Genomic DNA, 17,573 nt, shown 5'->3' with positions numbered 1-17,573 from the left:
AAATAATATAAGACTGGGGTTATTAGCCAAAATCTTTTCATTCAGGGAAAGCATGTGTCCAAGTATTATCACTTGGAAAATTTGAAGCTATATTTAATTTTGTATTTTTTATATTTTGTACCAGTTAAATCTTTTAGTGAAGAAGATTCCCAGTTATCAAAAATGTTTAGTGTTTTTATTCATCAAAACTGAAAACTAGAAATAACTTTGTTATTTCTTAACACTTTGGGAGTTTTTAAAACTAACAGCGCCCAGAATGACTTGGGCATGGAAAGTAAGGAATATCTATTGAGCAGTCACCTGGCATTTGTTCATTTACACAGAGATGACAACTAGAATATATTTAGTTGGCTTTTATTGATTTATACCCTTTAGTGAGTTATTTCAAAACTAAAATTGTCTAATAATCGTTTTCCATTGCTTTAGAAATTTTAACAGTATTTTGTTTATAAAAACTTTGGCCATGATAATATTTTGAAAATTATAAGGGGCCTTTCCCTGTCTTTCTTCACATTCTCTGTTGAATTCATGACCCCATTTTGCAGTTCCCTAAATTACATTATAAATCAGAAAATACACATATCTACTCCAATTGAAAGCTCCATTTCAACTGGCTCCCCTGTCCAGAGCAGCTGAAACTTTGGAGGGTTCACTTAAAGCTCTGGTCATAGCCTTGACTCATGGGAGCTTTCGACAGATGCAATCACCAGAAAGTACATGCTACCCAGAATATTAGGTACATGCCAAAAGATGTGTGGTAAGAAAAAACAAAAAACAAAACCAAAAAACCCTGCAATGTTTAACTAGCATGAAAACACAATGCTACACCTCATACTTTCAGTTGAGAGTCATGAAGATCACTCATAAGTAGGGACACAACCTTGTTTTTTTTGTTTGTTTGCTTGTTTGTTTGTTTGTTTGTTTGAGACAAAGTCTGGCTCTGTTACCCAGGCTGGAGTACAGTAGCGCCATCTCTGCTCACTGCAACCTTCGCCTCCCAGGTTCAAAGGATTCCCCTGCCTCACTCTCACTGTAGCTGGGACTACAGGCATCCACCCCCATGCCCAGCTAATTTTTGTATTTTTAGTAGAGATGAAGTTTCACCATGTTGGCTAGACTGATCTTAAACTGCTAGGCTCAAGTGATCTGCCTGCCTTGGCCTCCCAAAGTGCTGGGATTACAGGCGTAAGCAACCCCACCCGGTCTTGTTTTCATTTTGAATAAATCAGTTATGTAGAAATTTGTATTTATTTGAAAAGATGGTGTTATGGCCTGATTTGTGTCTCCCCAAAAGTCATATGTTGAAGCCCTAAGCCCCAGTGTGACTGCATTTGGAGACACGGCTTTAAAGAAGGTAATTAAGGTTCAATGAGGTCAAAAAAGTGGGGCCCTAATCCGATAGGACTGGTGTCCTTTTAAGAAGAGAAAAATATACCAGAGTGTGCATGCTCACACGATCTCTCACTCTCTCTCATGCATGCACACAGAGAAAAGGCCATATGAAGACACAGTGGGAAGGCACCACCCGCAAGCCTAGCAGAGAGGCCTCACCAGAAACCAACCCTGCTAGCACCTTCTTGGACTTCTAGCTTCCAGAATTGTGAGGAAAAAAAGTCCCATGTTATAACACCCAGTCCGTCCTATTTTGTTGTAACAGCTAGAGCAGACTCATTACTTTGGAAAAGTATGCTAATTCTTTGACCCAGCTAGTCCTATCACAAAAAGCACTGTTTTTTAGTAATACAAGTTTTAAACATTTAAGCAGATATTCTATACCAATTTCATCAATTTATAAAGGTACAAAATTTCCCTCTGTACTATCTGTGCCTTAGTGGCTTTCAAACTTTTGGATTGTGGACCACAAAAATATTAAGATATTAAGTGTGTATGTATATAATACATAGTTTATTTATAATATTATATCTGTGTATTTGTGTATCGCAAAACAATACTTTTCCTAACTACCTGACCGTATGAAATAGGTTCTGCTCAAGTCTGTTTTATTTAAGAAATACATGCTTGTGTGCATGTGTTTTCAAATCCATTTGAAAGCCAGATTATTGCTTGATGTTTGAGTAGTTCTCTTTTTAGCTATGTTGTCCAAAACATTCCCTAGCTACAATTTCCATTTTTTCCCTTAGCATCTCAAGATACACATGAAGTACACATGAAGAATAACCATCCATTATACTTCTCTCTCTCTCTCCCATCTCCCACCGCCCCCACACACACCACACTCACACACGCACACCACATACAATGAGCCTAAGGTTAAGGCAAATCCATTGCGGTCCTATTCAAAGCAAGGCTTTTCATACAGTTTAAATTATAGTGTCAAGCATATTGTCTTACTGACTTGTTTATAATAAAAATATTTCAATTTGATGATGCAACTAAGATATAGACTAATGCATACAGACTGAATAAGTAAATTCCCAATTAGGAAATATGGTATCCTTGAAGTAAAGTATGGATAATTTACATTCTTGCTAGTTCACACAGGCACCTTGGGTATGAATAAAAAATTGTATGACTTGGCCTGGCACGGTGGCTCATGCCTGTAGTCCTGGTACTTTGGGAGGCAGAGGCGGGCAGATCACTTGAAGGTCAGGAGTTCTAGACCAGCCTGGCCAACAAGATGAAACTCCGTCTCTACTAAACATACAAAAAATTTAGCTGGGCATGGTGGTGTGAGCCTGTAGTCCCAGATACTCGGGAGGCTGAGGTGGGAGAATCACTTGAACCTGGGAGGCAGAGATTGCAGTGAGCTTAGATCATGTCACTGCACTCCAGCCTGGATAACAAAGCGAGACTTCATCTCAAAAAAAAAAAAAATTATATGACTTGATAATTTTCAAAGAAAACATTTGTAAAGGGAAGTTAATTTCATCATTTTCTATCTTATTCTATTTCTTTTGGGTGTATACTTAAAGAATTCATGCTTATAGCCATGAAAGAGTCTGACACTGATATCTGTGGTCTAGGAATAGATAGTTAAACGAAGGCAATGGGTACTATAGGGACAGGTTTTACAGATTTGTTGTTCTCTGAAACAATTAGCAAAGTTGACTAAGACCCAGAAGCAAGAAATACACATTTCATAATAAAACATTACCCTGTCACATTCAAACTAATAGTGATCCTGGATATGTAAATATGAAATCAAAATTTAATTTCCAAACAATAGAATTTCAAAATCAATATTTAAATTTCAAATTTTCCCAAATTTCATGGGTCAAAATTCTAATGTTCACTTCTATATGTTTAGTTGTATAAGATAAGTAAATTGACACCTTTTAAAATTGTTAAAATCTATATACAGGGAAAACGGCCATAATGCATACAGCTTTGGAATATATATACATGTGTACGTACAAATTTATATAGACATAAGAAAAATAAAATAAGTTAAAGGTAAAAAGCCTTCCACATTATTTAAAACATCCACTATTTCATGCTACTGATATCTTGATACAAATATTTTCTATTATATTTTTATTTACAGAATAAAATTTATTTTGTGCTCTTGAGAACAAAAGAAAGAAAACAAAAAAAAAAAGAAATAATGAAGAAAATGTTTCTAGTTACATCCTTTTTCATTAGAAATTACCCTCAGTTCTGAGACAGCAATTGGCACAGAAACATTTTCTAAGTGAATAAATTACAACTCATATATTTGCTCATAGCCTAATACAGCAAATTCATGCCAAATAGAAAATATTAACATTTTAAAATGTTTAAATATTTTAAATGTAAACATAAAAATAATTTAAAATAACCTTTATTGAATTAACTAAATAGAAGTTTTTTGCACACTTCTTAATTCTCACCTCTTCTTTTGTCTTTTTAGATATCACTCGGAGCCAATCTCCAATCATGCTCAGGACAGCAGCAAAGTAAGCAAGCCCTACAAGGATCCAGAACCACACGACAGGCTTATAGAAGTCCAGATATTCAATATCGGATCCACCTGGAGACAAAACAAAGTAAAACAAAATAACTTCATAGTCTTAAAAGTAAACAATCTAGGTATTGCTAAAATTACTAACTAAATTTTGGTTTGCAAAACATAGAAATCTAGTATTCTTATCAATGGAGTTACATTATTTTCTTCATTTTGAATTTCTCCTTTTCACTCGTAATTCTTACCTATTTTTCAAGAACAAGTTGTTTTTCTTAATGAAAACTTTCATTGCTTCTTCAGATCATCATGATTTTTCCTTGCTCCATGTTTCATTTACATTTATATAATCCATCTCAGTCTAGTACTTAATTATTCTATGTGTACTAAGTTTCTTTTTCCACCTCTATTTTAACAAATAGAAGATAGGGATTACACTTTTATTGGTGTGCATTTAACTTAGCATATTTACCTCATTGCCAATAAATACATGCTAGCTAATCAACTTAATGCCAAACTGAACAGCAAGTGAACAACTCTAGTGATGGTTCTTATTTTAAAGTCATCAATACAATGAATCACTAACAAATGCCAGAGACAATGACTTGATGGTTCGAATGAAAACAAATAGAAATTTGCAGGTAATACTACCATTCATTATTCTCTGACTTTTCTGAGAAATTCCCATGACTGTCATAAAATAAAACCGTAGCTCTCAAGAAAAAAAATATTGGCAAGGCTCTTGTTTTTTTTTACTCTAATCCTTGAAGTACTTCTCCATCCACTTGGAACAATAACTGTACCTATAAGAATCTGGGTTCATTTCAACACACCCTTTGTTTAGTACCCCATTAATATGGGGGCATTTATTAAGTCCCAACAGTGAAACTATTTTTATTTTCACAAGTAAGAAATCAAATACCTCCCTTGAAAAATTCATAATTTAGCCCAAGAAATCCTCATATAGACAGTTAACCTCAATGGGGTATATTGCATGATGGCAAAGAGAATAAAAAAGTACTATGAGAGGACATAGAAGAAGTGATTTTTACTTCTGGAAGAAGGAAAGTAAGAAGGGGAAAAGTGAGTCTTAGGTAATGAGGATCAAAACATGGAATAGCACAGTGTGGAAAATATATAGTATAGTCAAATGACTTTTAGTCATGGATGAATCTCCACATGTATTGGGCCAAAGAGCAGATAAGTAGAAGAGAGAAATCTAGAAAAAGTAGGCTGTATCAGATTGTAAAGATTTGATCTTAACTCCATGGAGAATAGGTAAAAGTCTCTCGGGAGATAAGTCCTGTGTATTCGTGTTTGACTATCTCCACAGAAAGATCTAGTGGCAGAGAAGAACAAATTGACAGGGAAGCCCCATGAGAAGCTTTTGTTCTGAATTAGCTAAGAAATTATTGTGTCTGAGATAGGGCAGAGATGGCAAGAAGAGTCATTTTACAGGCCGAATCATCAAGGATTCATGGCCAATTACTTGGTGGGATAAGTGAGAGGAAGAGCTCTCTGGTGACCAAAGACCAAAGATATTGTAACTGAATAGGGGAAGAAAGAGTGACTTTAAAAAAAAAAAAAGTAATTAAAACTGAGAACTGACAGGTTCGAAGTGCTTGAGGTAATAACCAACAAGATCCTTACATGCAAATCTAACACTTAATAGAACAGGGCAGAAGATAAGGATTTTAGGACCAACAGCATAGAGACTGGAGGTGCTTAAACAGAGCATGGATTTGCCCAATTCACAAAAATTCAGCCAGTAAATTGCAAGTATATCAAAGATCAAGTATAAAATACTGAGTATAACATTATTGTAGAGAAATTAAATTTTGCTAATAAGTTGCAGGTATATATTAAAAATCAAGTATAAATTGCAAGTATATATTAAAATCAAGTATAAAATACTGAGTATAACATTATTGTAGAGAAATTTAATTTTGCTAATAAATTGCAGGTATATATTAAAAATCAAGTATGCATTGCAAGTATATATTAAATCAAGTATAAAATACTGAGTATAACATTATTGTAGAGAAATTAAATTTTAAGTTGCTCATAATGACATTTTCAAATAATAAAGGGTCAATAAAAAGCATTTTTCTGTCAGGTAAATAATTTGAATAGGCATCGTTCAGCTTTCTTTTGGGACAAAAATAATTTTAGAACACATTTTACAAAGTGAATAATATTACTTTCAAATATTATAAAATTTTTACTTTTTGCAACATTAAAAGCTTATTTCTGGGAATAATTATAAATGCATCTCGTGATGGTTAAGAGTTGGCCCATGGAGGATACGGCTCTAAAACTTCACAGAACTGACTTAAGAAATATGTGTGTAAACCTGTTACATGATAGTCTCACCAGTGAATTTCATTTTTTCAAATGTTTCCATTTCAATGAAACCAAAATGACATTTTTTCCCAAGTACTTTCCCTTTCAAAACCAGAAAAAATCTTCATCCAAATATTTGTGACTCATTTAACACATAAGTTCACCAAGATGTTGACTTTAGAAGAGTTAGTTCATGCTCAGATTACTTTTTATAAGTCTTCTTTCTTATAAACAGGATGTCACAGTTTGAAAAGAGTAAATTAGCTTAATCACTAAAAGGTCTATATTTGGGTAAAATGTTCAACCCACAAGTTTTAGTGGAGTCTAAGCCCAGGGGAAAAAAATGCTTTTCCTTTTTAAATTGCCACTCTCAAGATGAAATACTGGCAGTCAGATGATCTAGGAAAAACGAATACTATATATAAGAAATATTGTCAAACAACTCCCAAATCCTACTCACTTGCTGATATCTAAGATTCATGAATTAATTTTCACATTAATCAATTCACTTCATCTAAGAATCTTATCCAAATTAACATATCTGTGATGTCAGGATAACTTGCTAAGAAAAAATGTTTTATTTTTAAATTAGGAATAAATTAGGAAATACCTTTTAAAAAACTTCTTGACTTTTACAAGCATTAATTTCAGTCTAGCTATGTTGAGGAAACCTACCTATTTGTCTCTGGCTTACTAAGAATCGAGTGTAATTTCTATTATTGACTTCTTGTTATTGACAGGGCCACTGCCCCTGTCTCCCACGCTCTGTTTTTTCTCTTTCCACAGACTTCTGAGATGCAGCCTACAAGATGCTACAGCCCACTCTCCCCTCCTAGGTTCCCCACCGACCTGGCAGAAATATTCACTCCACTGCTCTTTTTTCTTTACTACCACTAAAATCATGCACATAAATCCTTTCCATTTTAAGAGCTTTCTGGCTAATCATAATAGGACAGTAAACAGATGGTAATAAAAATAACAAAAAAGTGTGGAGGTATAAAGGTTTTGGGAATCTTATAAACTTTTCCAAGTAGTTAAAATAAGTCTACTCATCCTGACATTCTTATATGACATGTGACAGCTTCTTTTAGATGGTGTAATCTCTCTCCGGATCTCTTGCCCTTATTGCTTGTGTAAGGAACTCAGTCAGAGCCTAATCCAATCTAGTAGATTAAACTACAAAAAATATAGCTCAGGAAAGTTCAGGCTGGTATTATTGCTAGGAAACCATTATCTCCACAAAGCAGGTTTCCTAAACATTTGCTGGAAACAGTCCCTCTACCCAGCATTAAGAAAGCCCTATTCTAGCTGGCTCCAAAGAATCATTGATTAGGCAACAGAACAACCCATGAGGCCGTGGCAGACACCTTTTAAAAGGCATTTTTTTTTTTTTTTGAGATGCAGCCTCACTCTGTCACCCAGGCAAGAGTGCAGTGGTGCATTTCGGCTCACTGCAACTTCCACCTCCCGTATTCAAGCGATTCTCCTGCCTCAGCTTCCCGAGAAGCTGGGAATACAGGCACCTGCCACCACGCCTGACGAATTTTTGTATTTTTAGTAGAGACAGGGTTTCACCACGCTGGCAAGGCTGGTCTTGAACTCCTAACCTCAAGTGATCTGCATGCCTTGGCCTCCCAAAGTACTAGGATTACAGGCATGAGCCACCATGCCTGGCCCCTAGAAGACTTAAAAAAAAAAAAAGAAAGAAAGAAAAATTGGCTCTGTAAACCCTGCCTAACCCAGTTAATATGCTCATTTCCACTGATTTACAGAATATTCAAAATCAGATTGGAAGAGTGGGATGAGAAGGAAGACTTACTGATTACCTCCATGAACGAAATCATTCCATCCTAACACCCTGTGGGTAGGTGTTGAGGGGAGTTGCATTCTCACGCTTCACACTTCCATTGACTTAGGGCAGGGCTGTTAGTTAAGACCATGCGGCCATAGAACTAAGTCACATTGCCAGCTTCCTTTTGCAGCAATAAAGCTGATGATCCAATTGCCATCACTCTCATGGTCTCTTTGGAACTCAGGAATGAAAGACCAGTTTGTATGGGCTCCTTGAAATCCCAACAGTAAGTATCCCACTTTAAAATGGAGATATCACAATCTCAGTAGAGAAAATAACATATGTCAGGCCACCCAAGAAAGGGGTAGCAGAGCTAGAGTTTAACACAGGTGTCTGAATAGCTCCAAAACACAGGCTCCTTCATTGAACCCAGTGGTCCACGTCACCTATGATGTCACCTACTGTCCTTCTTATCATTTATCCACCAACCTATTTTGCTCATACTGCCTGGGAGGTACTTAGCTAAGGCAGGAAATACCAAATTGCACAAGGCATGCCTCTTCTCCTCAAGGTTCTCACCTAGAAACCACGTGGGTCTGAGGACAAGCATCATTCCACCAAGAGCCTCCTTACCTTGCTCTGTCCTCTCTCCAGCGTTCCCAGCCATCGGCCCTCTTCGATGCTAAAGAACTTGGGCATACAACATCCCCTCTTAGTTAAATATAATTTTCTTTTTCTGTGAATTTTTTTCTGAATAACAAAATATTTAGGAAGGAAGAAAAAAGATATATCCTGGTTTTAAAGGATAACCTAGCCACTCCGGACTAAGGTTATCAGTTCCATACATCTCTTCTGATTTTCTAAAATGGCATATCTGTTACAGAATATAAACATAGATATATAACTCCATTTTAAAGAAAGTAGGGATCATTCCTTTAAATCAGCCTATAAGTATTTTAGCTTAAATATCAAACATGGATTTTAATTTTGGGGGGTTTACTTGACTTTACTTTTATTAATTAAAGCTATCCTGTCTTAATATGAAGGAGGGAAAATCTTAATTTCTGTTTTAGTATATCTTATTGTGTTATTAAGTAATTTTACTGAATAAGGTGTTTCTCACTGCTTCAAGGACTGAGAACCCCTTTTAATGATGTTATAAATTCTATTTTCTTTATAACAAATGGAAATATGACTTCAGTATTAAACAACAGCTTACCTACTAAACTAAACTTTTCATATGCCATTGAGTCGGAAAACCAGAATGCCAAAAAAGGTGTCATTTGAACTTATATTTGGGGATTTTAAATTTTAGCATTCAAGAAGTTGTCCGTGTCCCTGTAGGTACTTGTTCTTAAATTGGGAAAACTGCCATGAGAACAGCAGTCTCATGATCATAAAGAAAGAAAAATCAACACATGATGTCACTCACTCATCCTTTATAAAGATGGAACAGTATATAGATGTACCCAATTGTTATTCTTAGAAATTGTCTTTAAATCTCAATCTAGAACAATTTGGAATATTTTTCACGGAATGTAGTACAATTTACTTCCTGCCTCACAAAGCCGTAATTATCAATCACTGAATGCTTTTCTCCTCAATTTTTTCTCCACATGTTTTTACAATACTTCTATATATCCATTCAGAACCCTAAAAGTTAAGTAACTTTTTGGTTTGTCCACAGTCCCTAAGACTTCTGAACCATTTGGGTCAAATCCCACTTATTAAATCATGCAGATGGCCATTATTTCTGTTGTGAGTTCTCCGAGAGTCACAAGTTAAATCAGGGAGTGACTAAACCCTCTACAGAATTTTCCTGTATTATAAAACAGAGCAAATAGCAGGAAGAGAAAAAGATTCCCTACTTAGTTGTTGCTCCTGGATTTCATACATTCTGTCTTACAGGAACAGGAACTAGAGCAATTATTCTCACTAAGTGCTAAGCACAGTATCTAATATACAATATGTGTCCATTAAACACCTAACCAAACAAATGACCAATGAATATAAAACATCTCCCTAGCAGTCACACAAACCCTCCTTTTCCAAACAAAGCAATTTTTCTGAGCCATTGTGATGGTGGTAATGACTGCTCTTCAACAGATCTCACTCTTTATCAGGTACTTTCCTTGTTATCTGTTAAATTCCTGGCAAATTTCTACTCAGTTATCAGCTCAACAATAGCAATTTTAATACCTGGCCTTTGACATGGTTGCAAAACTCTTAGTCAACACAAGGTGCTGTTTTCTAGAGGGTCTCTACTTGAACTAACTGCTTGGGGGTTAGGGGAGAAACATGCCATGGTTTTTTAAAGAGATTTATGTTTTCATAATAAAATTCTCTTAAATTGAGCAAGCTCTGAGCACTCCACTGAATGAGTCATAATTTCAGTTATACAGGAAAGCAAATAGTTTGCTTACTAAAAATTACATTTCCAATAATGACTTTGAAAATGTAATTCCAAGAAGACTGAATCCTTAATATGAGACATACAAATGTGTGCTTCCCAAGTAAAAAATGTGATGGCAAATGATTATAACACTGTGAAAAACTATAAAAATGTAGTAAAGGTAAATATGCCAGAAGAGGAAAAATTTTACCTGGGAAAGTCCCAAATTGTATTGTACCTCTATAGGAGGGAGCACAGGGTACTAAGCAGGAAGCCTGACTGACCTGGTAAGCATTCAAAACTACATGTGTGATGAAGAAAATTTCATTATTTAACCAAATATACTCAATTTCACTGATCAGAATTCCATGATGATGTATTTGGATGGTTAAATAAATTCATGCTCAGATGGAATATGTGTTTTCATAATATTAACCATGAGGATTTCTTAGAACATCTGGATTTTTGCCTAGAACTTTTGGATTTTATTAGAAAACTAGGTAATGTGAGGACACTGCTTTGTGAAACTATAAATTCTTCTCTGGTTTTTTCACTCTTTCACATTACCCTTTACAAAATATTAACCTCAGGTTTATGAAAAGGAGTACTATTTTTCTTTCTTTCCTCTTTTTTTTTTTTTTTTTTAAATTTTTGAGACAGGGTCTTGCTCTGTCACCCAGGCTAGAGAGCTGTGGTGCAATCATAGTTCACTGCAACCTCGAATTCCTGTAATTCTGAAAAGGAGTGTTAAGGACTTCACTGGGCAGCTTCTAAACAAGCTGTGGAAATGAATTCACTGGCTTGTATGACCCCTTTAAGGTATAGACCCTAAGGGTTTATATTAAAGGAGCTACCAGCCTTGAAAAGAAATTTTAAATTGTGTTAGGTTGGGTAATTATTTCACTTTTCTCTAATTTTGAAGAAGAATCACTAACACTTTATGTGTTTTTTTTTTAAGTCTTGGACCTTTGTAAAAGAAGACAAGTTGTAAAAAAGCAAGTGTTCATACATTACCGTATAATTAATAAGACTTCTTAGATTTTAATAAAGAAAGAGAAAAGTTGATTTAGCTCTCAGGAAGGCAAGCATGACTTAACTTATCACCTGAGACTTCCAGTCAAATAAAAAATAAAATGACAAAAGTTAGGAAACAGAACGTAGAGAATCAACACTAATTCTCACATACAATTTTGCCATTAACTTTAACTTATCTGTACAAATTTGATTATACATCATTATTGATGCTTTTAAAATCCCAGCAATTTGGGCAGCCAAGGCAGAAAGTTCGCTTGAGCCCAGGAGTTCAAGACCAGCATGGGCAACGAAGGAGATCTCATCTCTACAAAAAATACAGAAAATTAGCTGGGTATGGTGGCATGTGCCTGTGGTCCCAGCAACTTGGGAGGCTGAGGCAAGAGGATTACTTGAGCCCAGAATGTCGAGGCTGCAGTGAGCCACGATCACACCACTGCACTCCAGCCTAGGCTACAGAGTGAGACTCTGTCTCAAAAAATAAAAAGATAAAATAAAATTAAGTAAATAACACTTTGCAAAATAATTTCCTTTCTCTCTTCTCACCCTTTAGGAAGAATTACTCTGCACTTGCCACTCTTAGCAACAGGGGTCTGCTTACTCATATGTCAAATAAAAGTGTCTACAGATTCTGTGGCCTCCCAAGTGCTTTTTAGCCCCAGAACACTGAGCACTGAGAGAGAACAGAAAGTGCCATCGGGAAGGAGCAGATACCAATCACTAAGGTAACCAGTCACTAAAACATGTTCTCTGCATAAATAAATATGAAGTTAAAATTTTCTGGGAGATCTCTTCCTGTAGAGAAAGTACTAAATGCTGAATTCCTATATTCAGTCACATACACAGAGACACCTGAGCACTGCCTATTTATCTGCACCGGTGATCTCTAAATGCTTTTGATTCATCACTCACAGTGATAAATGGCAAAGTATTGCACATTACTTATGAATTAGAAATGTATTATGCTCTACTATATCATAAGTATTACGATATATAAAAATAAAAAGTGAAGAAATAATGAGATTTAGAAATACATAGAAATAGGAGTTTTCATATTTTCTTTTTTTTCAAGATGGGGCCTCGCCCTGTTGCCCAGGATGGAGTGCAGTGGCACCTTCATAGCCCACCGCAGCAAGACCTCCTCCCACCTCAGCCTCCCAAATAGCTAGGACTACAGCTGCATGCCACCATGTACAGCTAATTTTTAAAAATGTTTGTAGAGACAAGAGTCTCACTATGTTGCCCAGGCTGGTCTTGAACTTCTGGCCACAAGTGATCTTCCTGCCTTGGCCTCTCAAGTGCTGCCATTTTGCCACCATACCCAGCCTAATCGTCATGTTCTCTTATCATAGAAAATCTACTTTTCTTGCTCATTCCCTGGGGACAAGCACTATTTCAGAGTTCTGGTCTAAACCACCCCATCATCACTTGTTCTTAAGATGCTTCTAATAATTATACTGATGTTAAGAAATACAGATCTATTACAATCTGCATCCTAAACATTTATAAATCACTTTCCAAAATATACTTCTTTTCCTTTAATAACACCACAGTTTGAAGAATACATTCTTTAAGTTGCCTTCAGAAAAGTTCAATATAACAATGTAGCTGAACCCTGATCCTCCTCAGAGCAGATTTTGCAGGTTTTGCAGATTGACATCAAATATTAAGTGTGCATTATGGAAGGGACGTCTTTGTTTCCTTATGAGATTTATAGCCCAATAGAAAGATGAGGAGGTTCAAGTTAGAGCAATTCCTCTTGCTTTTCCCTGGCAAAATAGCAAAATTAAGCGAGAACACTGTCTTTAGGACATCTAATAGCAAGAGGGAAAGTTCTAAACAGTAAATAATTGATATTTCCCAGATGGGAAACTCACTCAATAGCTAATTTTACAGTCATAAGGTACCCAGAAGCAAAGTCTAATTTTGTGTACTCTATTGGACTATATGAGGCAATTCTTTTCCAAGATCCTTTAAAAAAATTCACAATTTCTGTTTTTCCAAAGACTCTTGCAAAGGGCACACATCTGCTACCCAGCCGTTGCCACATCTGCCCCCCAATCCACATTCTCATTCCAAAAACACTCCCTGGACACAAGGACCTGGAATGTAAAGATTACAGTACTAGAAACAGGGTATCATAGCTTCACAAAGACCAACACAGCCACAAAAATATATAAGTTAAGGAGATAGTGATGAATCAGCAAAAATAGTGTCAATTTATCTTACTCAGCATCTGTCATATTAATCACATCAAATTCTTATGCTAATTATAATTAACGTATATTTCTATAAGTTTGTATTATTTCCTCTGTCAAATAAAAAAAAATTAACAGATTTGAAGATGGGTAACAATATAATAAAAGCTAGTAAAAATAAAGTTGTTTATTTGATTATTCTTATTAGCACACAGCTATCATTCTCCTATTCTCCTATGATACTATGCCATGACTCTGAATTTTTCATCTTCTACAAAATGATAAAGAAAAATATTTTTTTCCTAAGCTGGTTTATACAATGGTCACAAATATAATATTGTTTAGGACTCCACCCACATTCATTTTTATTTATACTTTTTGTATTTTTTTTGGTCTCAGATCATGAGGGCCACATACTGAATTGACACTGTTAGTTGTTTAAAATAACACTGATATGGTTTGGGCTGTGTTCCCACCCAAATCTCATCTTGAATTGTAGTTCCCATAATCCCCACCTGTCATGAAAGGGACCCTATGGGAGGTAATTGAATCATAGGAGTGGTTTCCCCCATGCTATTCTCATGATAGTGAGTAAGTTCTCATGAAATCTGGTGGTTTTATAAGGTTCTCATTCTTCTTCTCCCTGTCACTATGTGAAGAAGGACATGTTTGCTTCCCCTTTTGCTATGATTGTAAGTTTCCTGAGGCCTCCCCAACCATGTTGAACTATGAGTCTATTAAACCTCTTTCCTTTATAAATTACCCAGTCTCAGGTATGTCTTTATTAGCAGCGTGAGAATGGACTAATACAAACACATACAATACGACATCAGGCCTGAAAATATAAAACGTGTCACATAATACCTATATATTCCACAGTTGCCATAAGGCCTTGTTAGTTATATTTAAAAAGTGATAAGACAGCCTAAGATTAATGCATCACAAGTATATTTTTGTTATCATCACTATATCTCACTTTCTCCTGTAATAACAAACTTTCCATTTCTACTTAAGCCAGTTATACACTTTGAATAAGAGGTAGAAAAATGAGTGTTTCAGGACACAAGCTTATCTTATACGGAGTTAGAAATGTCTCAAATTCTCCTTCCCACATTCTACTAATTATGAAACTAAAAGATCTTCAGCAGAGTGATGCACCCTCCTTTCCCAGGGTCCTCATCCAGAGAGGATATACACTGGTACATCTAGACTGTAGATGTCCTCTGTACATCTACAGTGCACAGAGAGGTGTACACTGTATTTTTGACCAAAAGCAAAGCTTTGTTCATAAAAGTGTCCCCATCTTCATGGATATTAGTGGCTTTGTCTGGTTGAACCTTAATTAACAAATCAATAGAAACAGATAAATATTAGCCCTCTCTGAGATCTTACAGAACTTCAGAAAGTATTTTCTGTTCTAAAAATATTTAAGTAAGAAATTTGCGTCAAGGAAGAACAGTAAACAGCCAAAAAGTATAAAACTCTCTTAAAACTAAATTACACTAATGAGAATTTTAATAACACATTCCTACTCTAATTTTTACCATGTTTTTAATACTTCAAACTGAATTTTTTAAGAGAATGGTTTAGATTTATGGTAGCTGGTAAAAATGATCCATAATAGATTAGCACACTTACTTTTACCATTATTGTATTTTACTTAAAATTGGAGTTAGAACAATAGTAATAGTGGGAAATATAATTGCGAAAAAGAGAACTGAACTAATAGGCACATAGGACCTTACAGATACAACAATAAAGCAAATGGCAGTTGAAATAACACATATATCATAGAAGAGGAAAAGTTTTTAAAATTTGAGTAGAAAAACGTAGACACTTTAGGTCTACATGACCTATTTTAGGTTAAGTTAAAAAATGCTGTCCTAAGTTTGAAAATTAAGTGGGTAAATATCTTAGAGAAAAAAATATTTTACGTAGCCAAGAACTTCTTCTGAAGTTTGCAGCTGTTTTTAAAACTAAGGCAGAAAAGAGCCTAAGTAGAAAGGGCAAAGATAAGTTAAACCTGAATTCTTGTGCCACTAAAAATAATAATAATAGATTCATTTTTTTCCCCAAGATGGAAAAAATGATTAATGGCTTTTAGTGTGCTTCAGTCACTTGAAAATAGCAAGATAGTGCATAAAGATCAACCCCGTAAGCTTTAATTCAAGAAGGAAAATGAGAATTCACTGGAATCATGTAGGAAACCCCAGAACCCGGGGAGGAGAACATGGGCAAACAGCCCCCATGACAGCATCTGGCTGATAAAAGTGAGTGAACCCTCAGGATATGAGAGAGGCAGATAGCCTCCCTCTGTGACTCACCTTCCACTGGGATCCAAGCAACCCAGGCCAAGGGAGAAAGCTTGTTTCTCCCAAGCCCTGGAACTAACTTGGGGAGAGCTTGGAAATGCAGTGAGGGAAAGGCACTGGGAAAAGCTGCAGCCATTTTCCCAGACCTGGGACAGAGAGCAGGAGGCTATTTTTAATCTGGACAAACATAAAGTCAACAATTATGTGGTGACCCAGTAGTGTGCCCGCACAGGATTTTAGTCGTGGGCCAGAGACTGGAGTGCTTGCTCTCGAGTGGGGTAGGAGCTTCCACAGTCAAAACTGTGGAAAGTGCCTCAGCAGTAGGTGCTGGAATTGTGCTCTCCTCCGTCACAGGCCTGGGTAGGGTGGGGAATGCTGCTGCTGCTGCAGTTTCTCTTGGGCAAGGAGACTTGCAGGCAGGGGCAGAGTGGTGACCTGGTACCAATCTGTATGTGTCGTTACTGAGTGCCCAGGATGCTCCCCTGAGATTGTAGTGCAGTGGGCCCTTTCCACTGAAACCCCAGGGAGAACTCCAGGCATTCAGAACACCCACTTGCCTGGCTCAGCAGCCTAAGCTTCCCAATGCTTCCTGGACATAGATTGTTGTGCAGCAAACCCCTCTCCACTCCAACCCTAGGCAGAGCTCCAGGCATTTGGAGCACCTCCTCAACTGGATCAGCAGCCTGAATAGCTCTGCCCTTCCTGCGCATAGATCATGGTGCAGTGGGGCCCTCTCTGCTCCACACCCAGGCAGATCTCCAGGCATTCAGAGCATCTGTTTGCCTGGTTCAGCAGCCTGAGTCATCCCACCCCTCCTTTGAAGAGATCTTGGTGCAGGGGGGCACTCTCTGCTGCATGCCCAGGTAGATCTCCAGGCATCTGGAGCAACTACTCTCTTGGATTAAGAGTTTAGATCTCCCCCATCCCTGTATAGAGAACATGGGGTCAAGGAGTTCCCCAGCTCCATGCTTAGGCGCACTTCTGGACACTCAGTGGCCATGCACTGGATTTTCCCTCAGTGCTAGTGCCTGTACCTGCCATCAGGGGACCTGTATGCAAACCTGCCAAGCCCAGCCCTGCCTATCGTGGCCTCCCCTGGCCTGAGCAGAGAGCTCAAAACACTGAGCAATCCAAAAATCAGCCCATTGCCTTATGCAACAGAAAGATATTCCCGTTAAAAAAGGATTAAGTACATACCCAGCCTCACTGGCCACAGCTGGCTCTTACCCATAAGTGCCATCTACTGGCTTATAAGTTGACAGCATAGCTCAAGATAAAACCTGCTGAGAGAAGTACATAGGGCTATAGCAGCAAAGTCAAAATACCCTGCCCAGTATTCTCTACAGTCACACCCCGTGTAAAAAGCAGGGGAGAGGAGGAAAGAAAAGAGGAACATAGCAACATTATAGAGAAAGAAAGAAAAATAAAAATATGCTATTCATATAAAAATAATTACAATAATTAGAAGTGGCAGTGTCTCCAGATGAGAAAGAACCAGGGCAAGAATTCTGGCACCATGAAAAAATCTGAATGTAGTGACACCACCTAAGGATCACAATAGCTACCCAGCAATGGCCCCAAACCAAAATGGAAACTCAGAAAT

At 36.8% G+C, this 17,573-nt stretch overlaps 1 protein-coding gene across 7 annotated transcripts in view; it reads right to left on the bottom strand.

Moving 5' to 3' along the window:
- KCNK2 (potassium two pore domain channel subfamily K member 2) overlaps positions 1–17,573 on the bottom strand; it is a 231,549-nt gene that overhangs the window by 38,168 nt on the left and 175,808 nt on the right. For all 7 annotated transcript variants that reach the window (XM_017001249.2, NM_001017424.3, XM_011509524.3 and 4 more), the window contains one exon: positions 3,831–3,970. In XM_017001249.2, coding sequence (XP_016856738.1) covers positions 3,831–3,970 — 140 coding nt within the window. The remainder of the gene's footprint in view (positions 1–3,830; positions 3,971–17,573) is intronic.

The sequence above is a fragment of the Homo sapiens genome, chromosome 1 (genome assembly GCF_000001405.40).
Source record: "Homo sapiens chromosome 1, GRCh38.p14 Primary Assembly".
NCBI classification, from domain to species: domain Eukaryota; kingdom Metazoa; phylum Chordata; class Mammalia; order Primates; family Hominidae; genus Homo; species Homo sapiens.
Note: the sequence above shows the minus strand (reverse complement) of the source record. Positions and strands in the feature narration are given on the sequence as shown.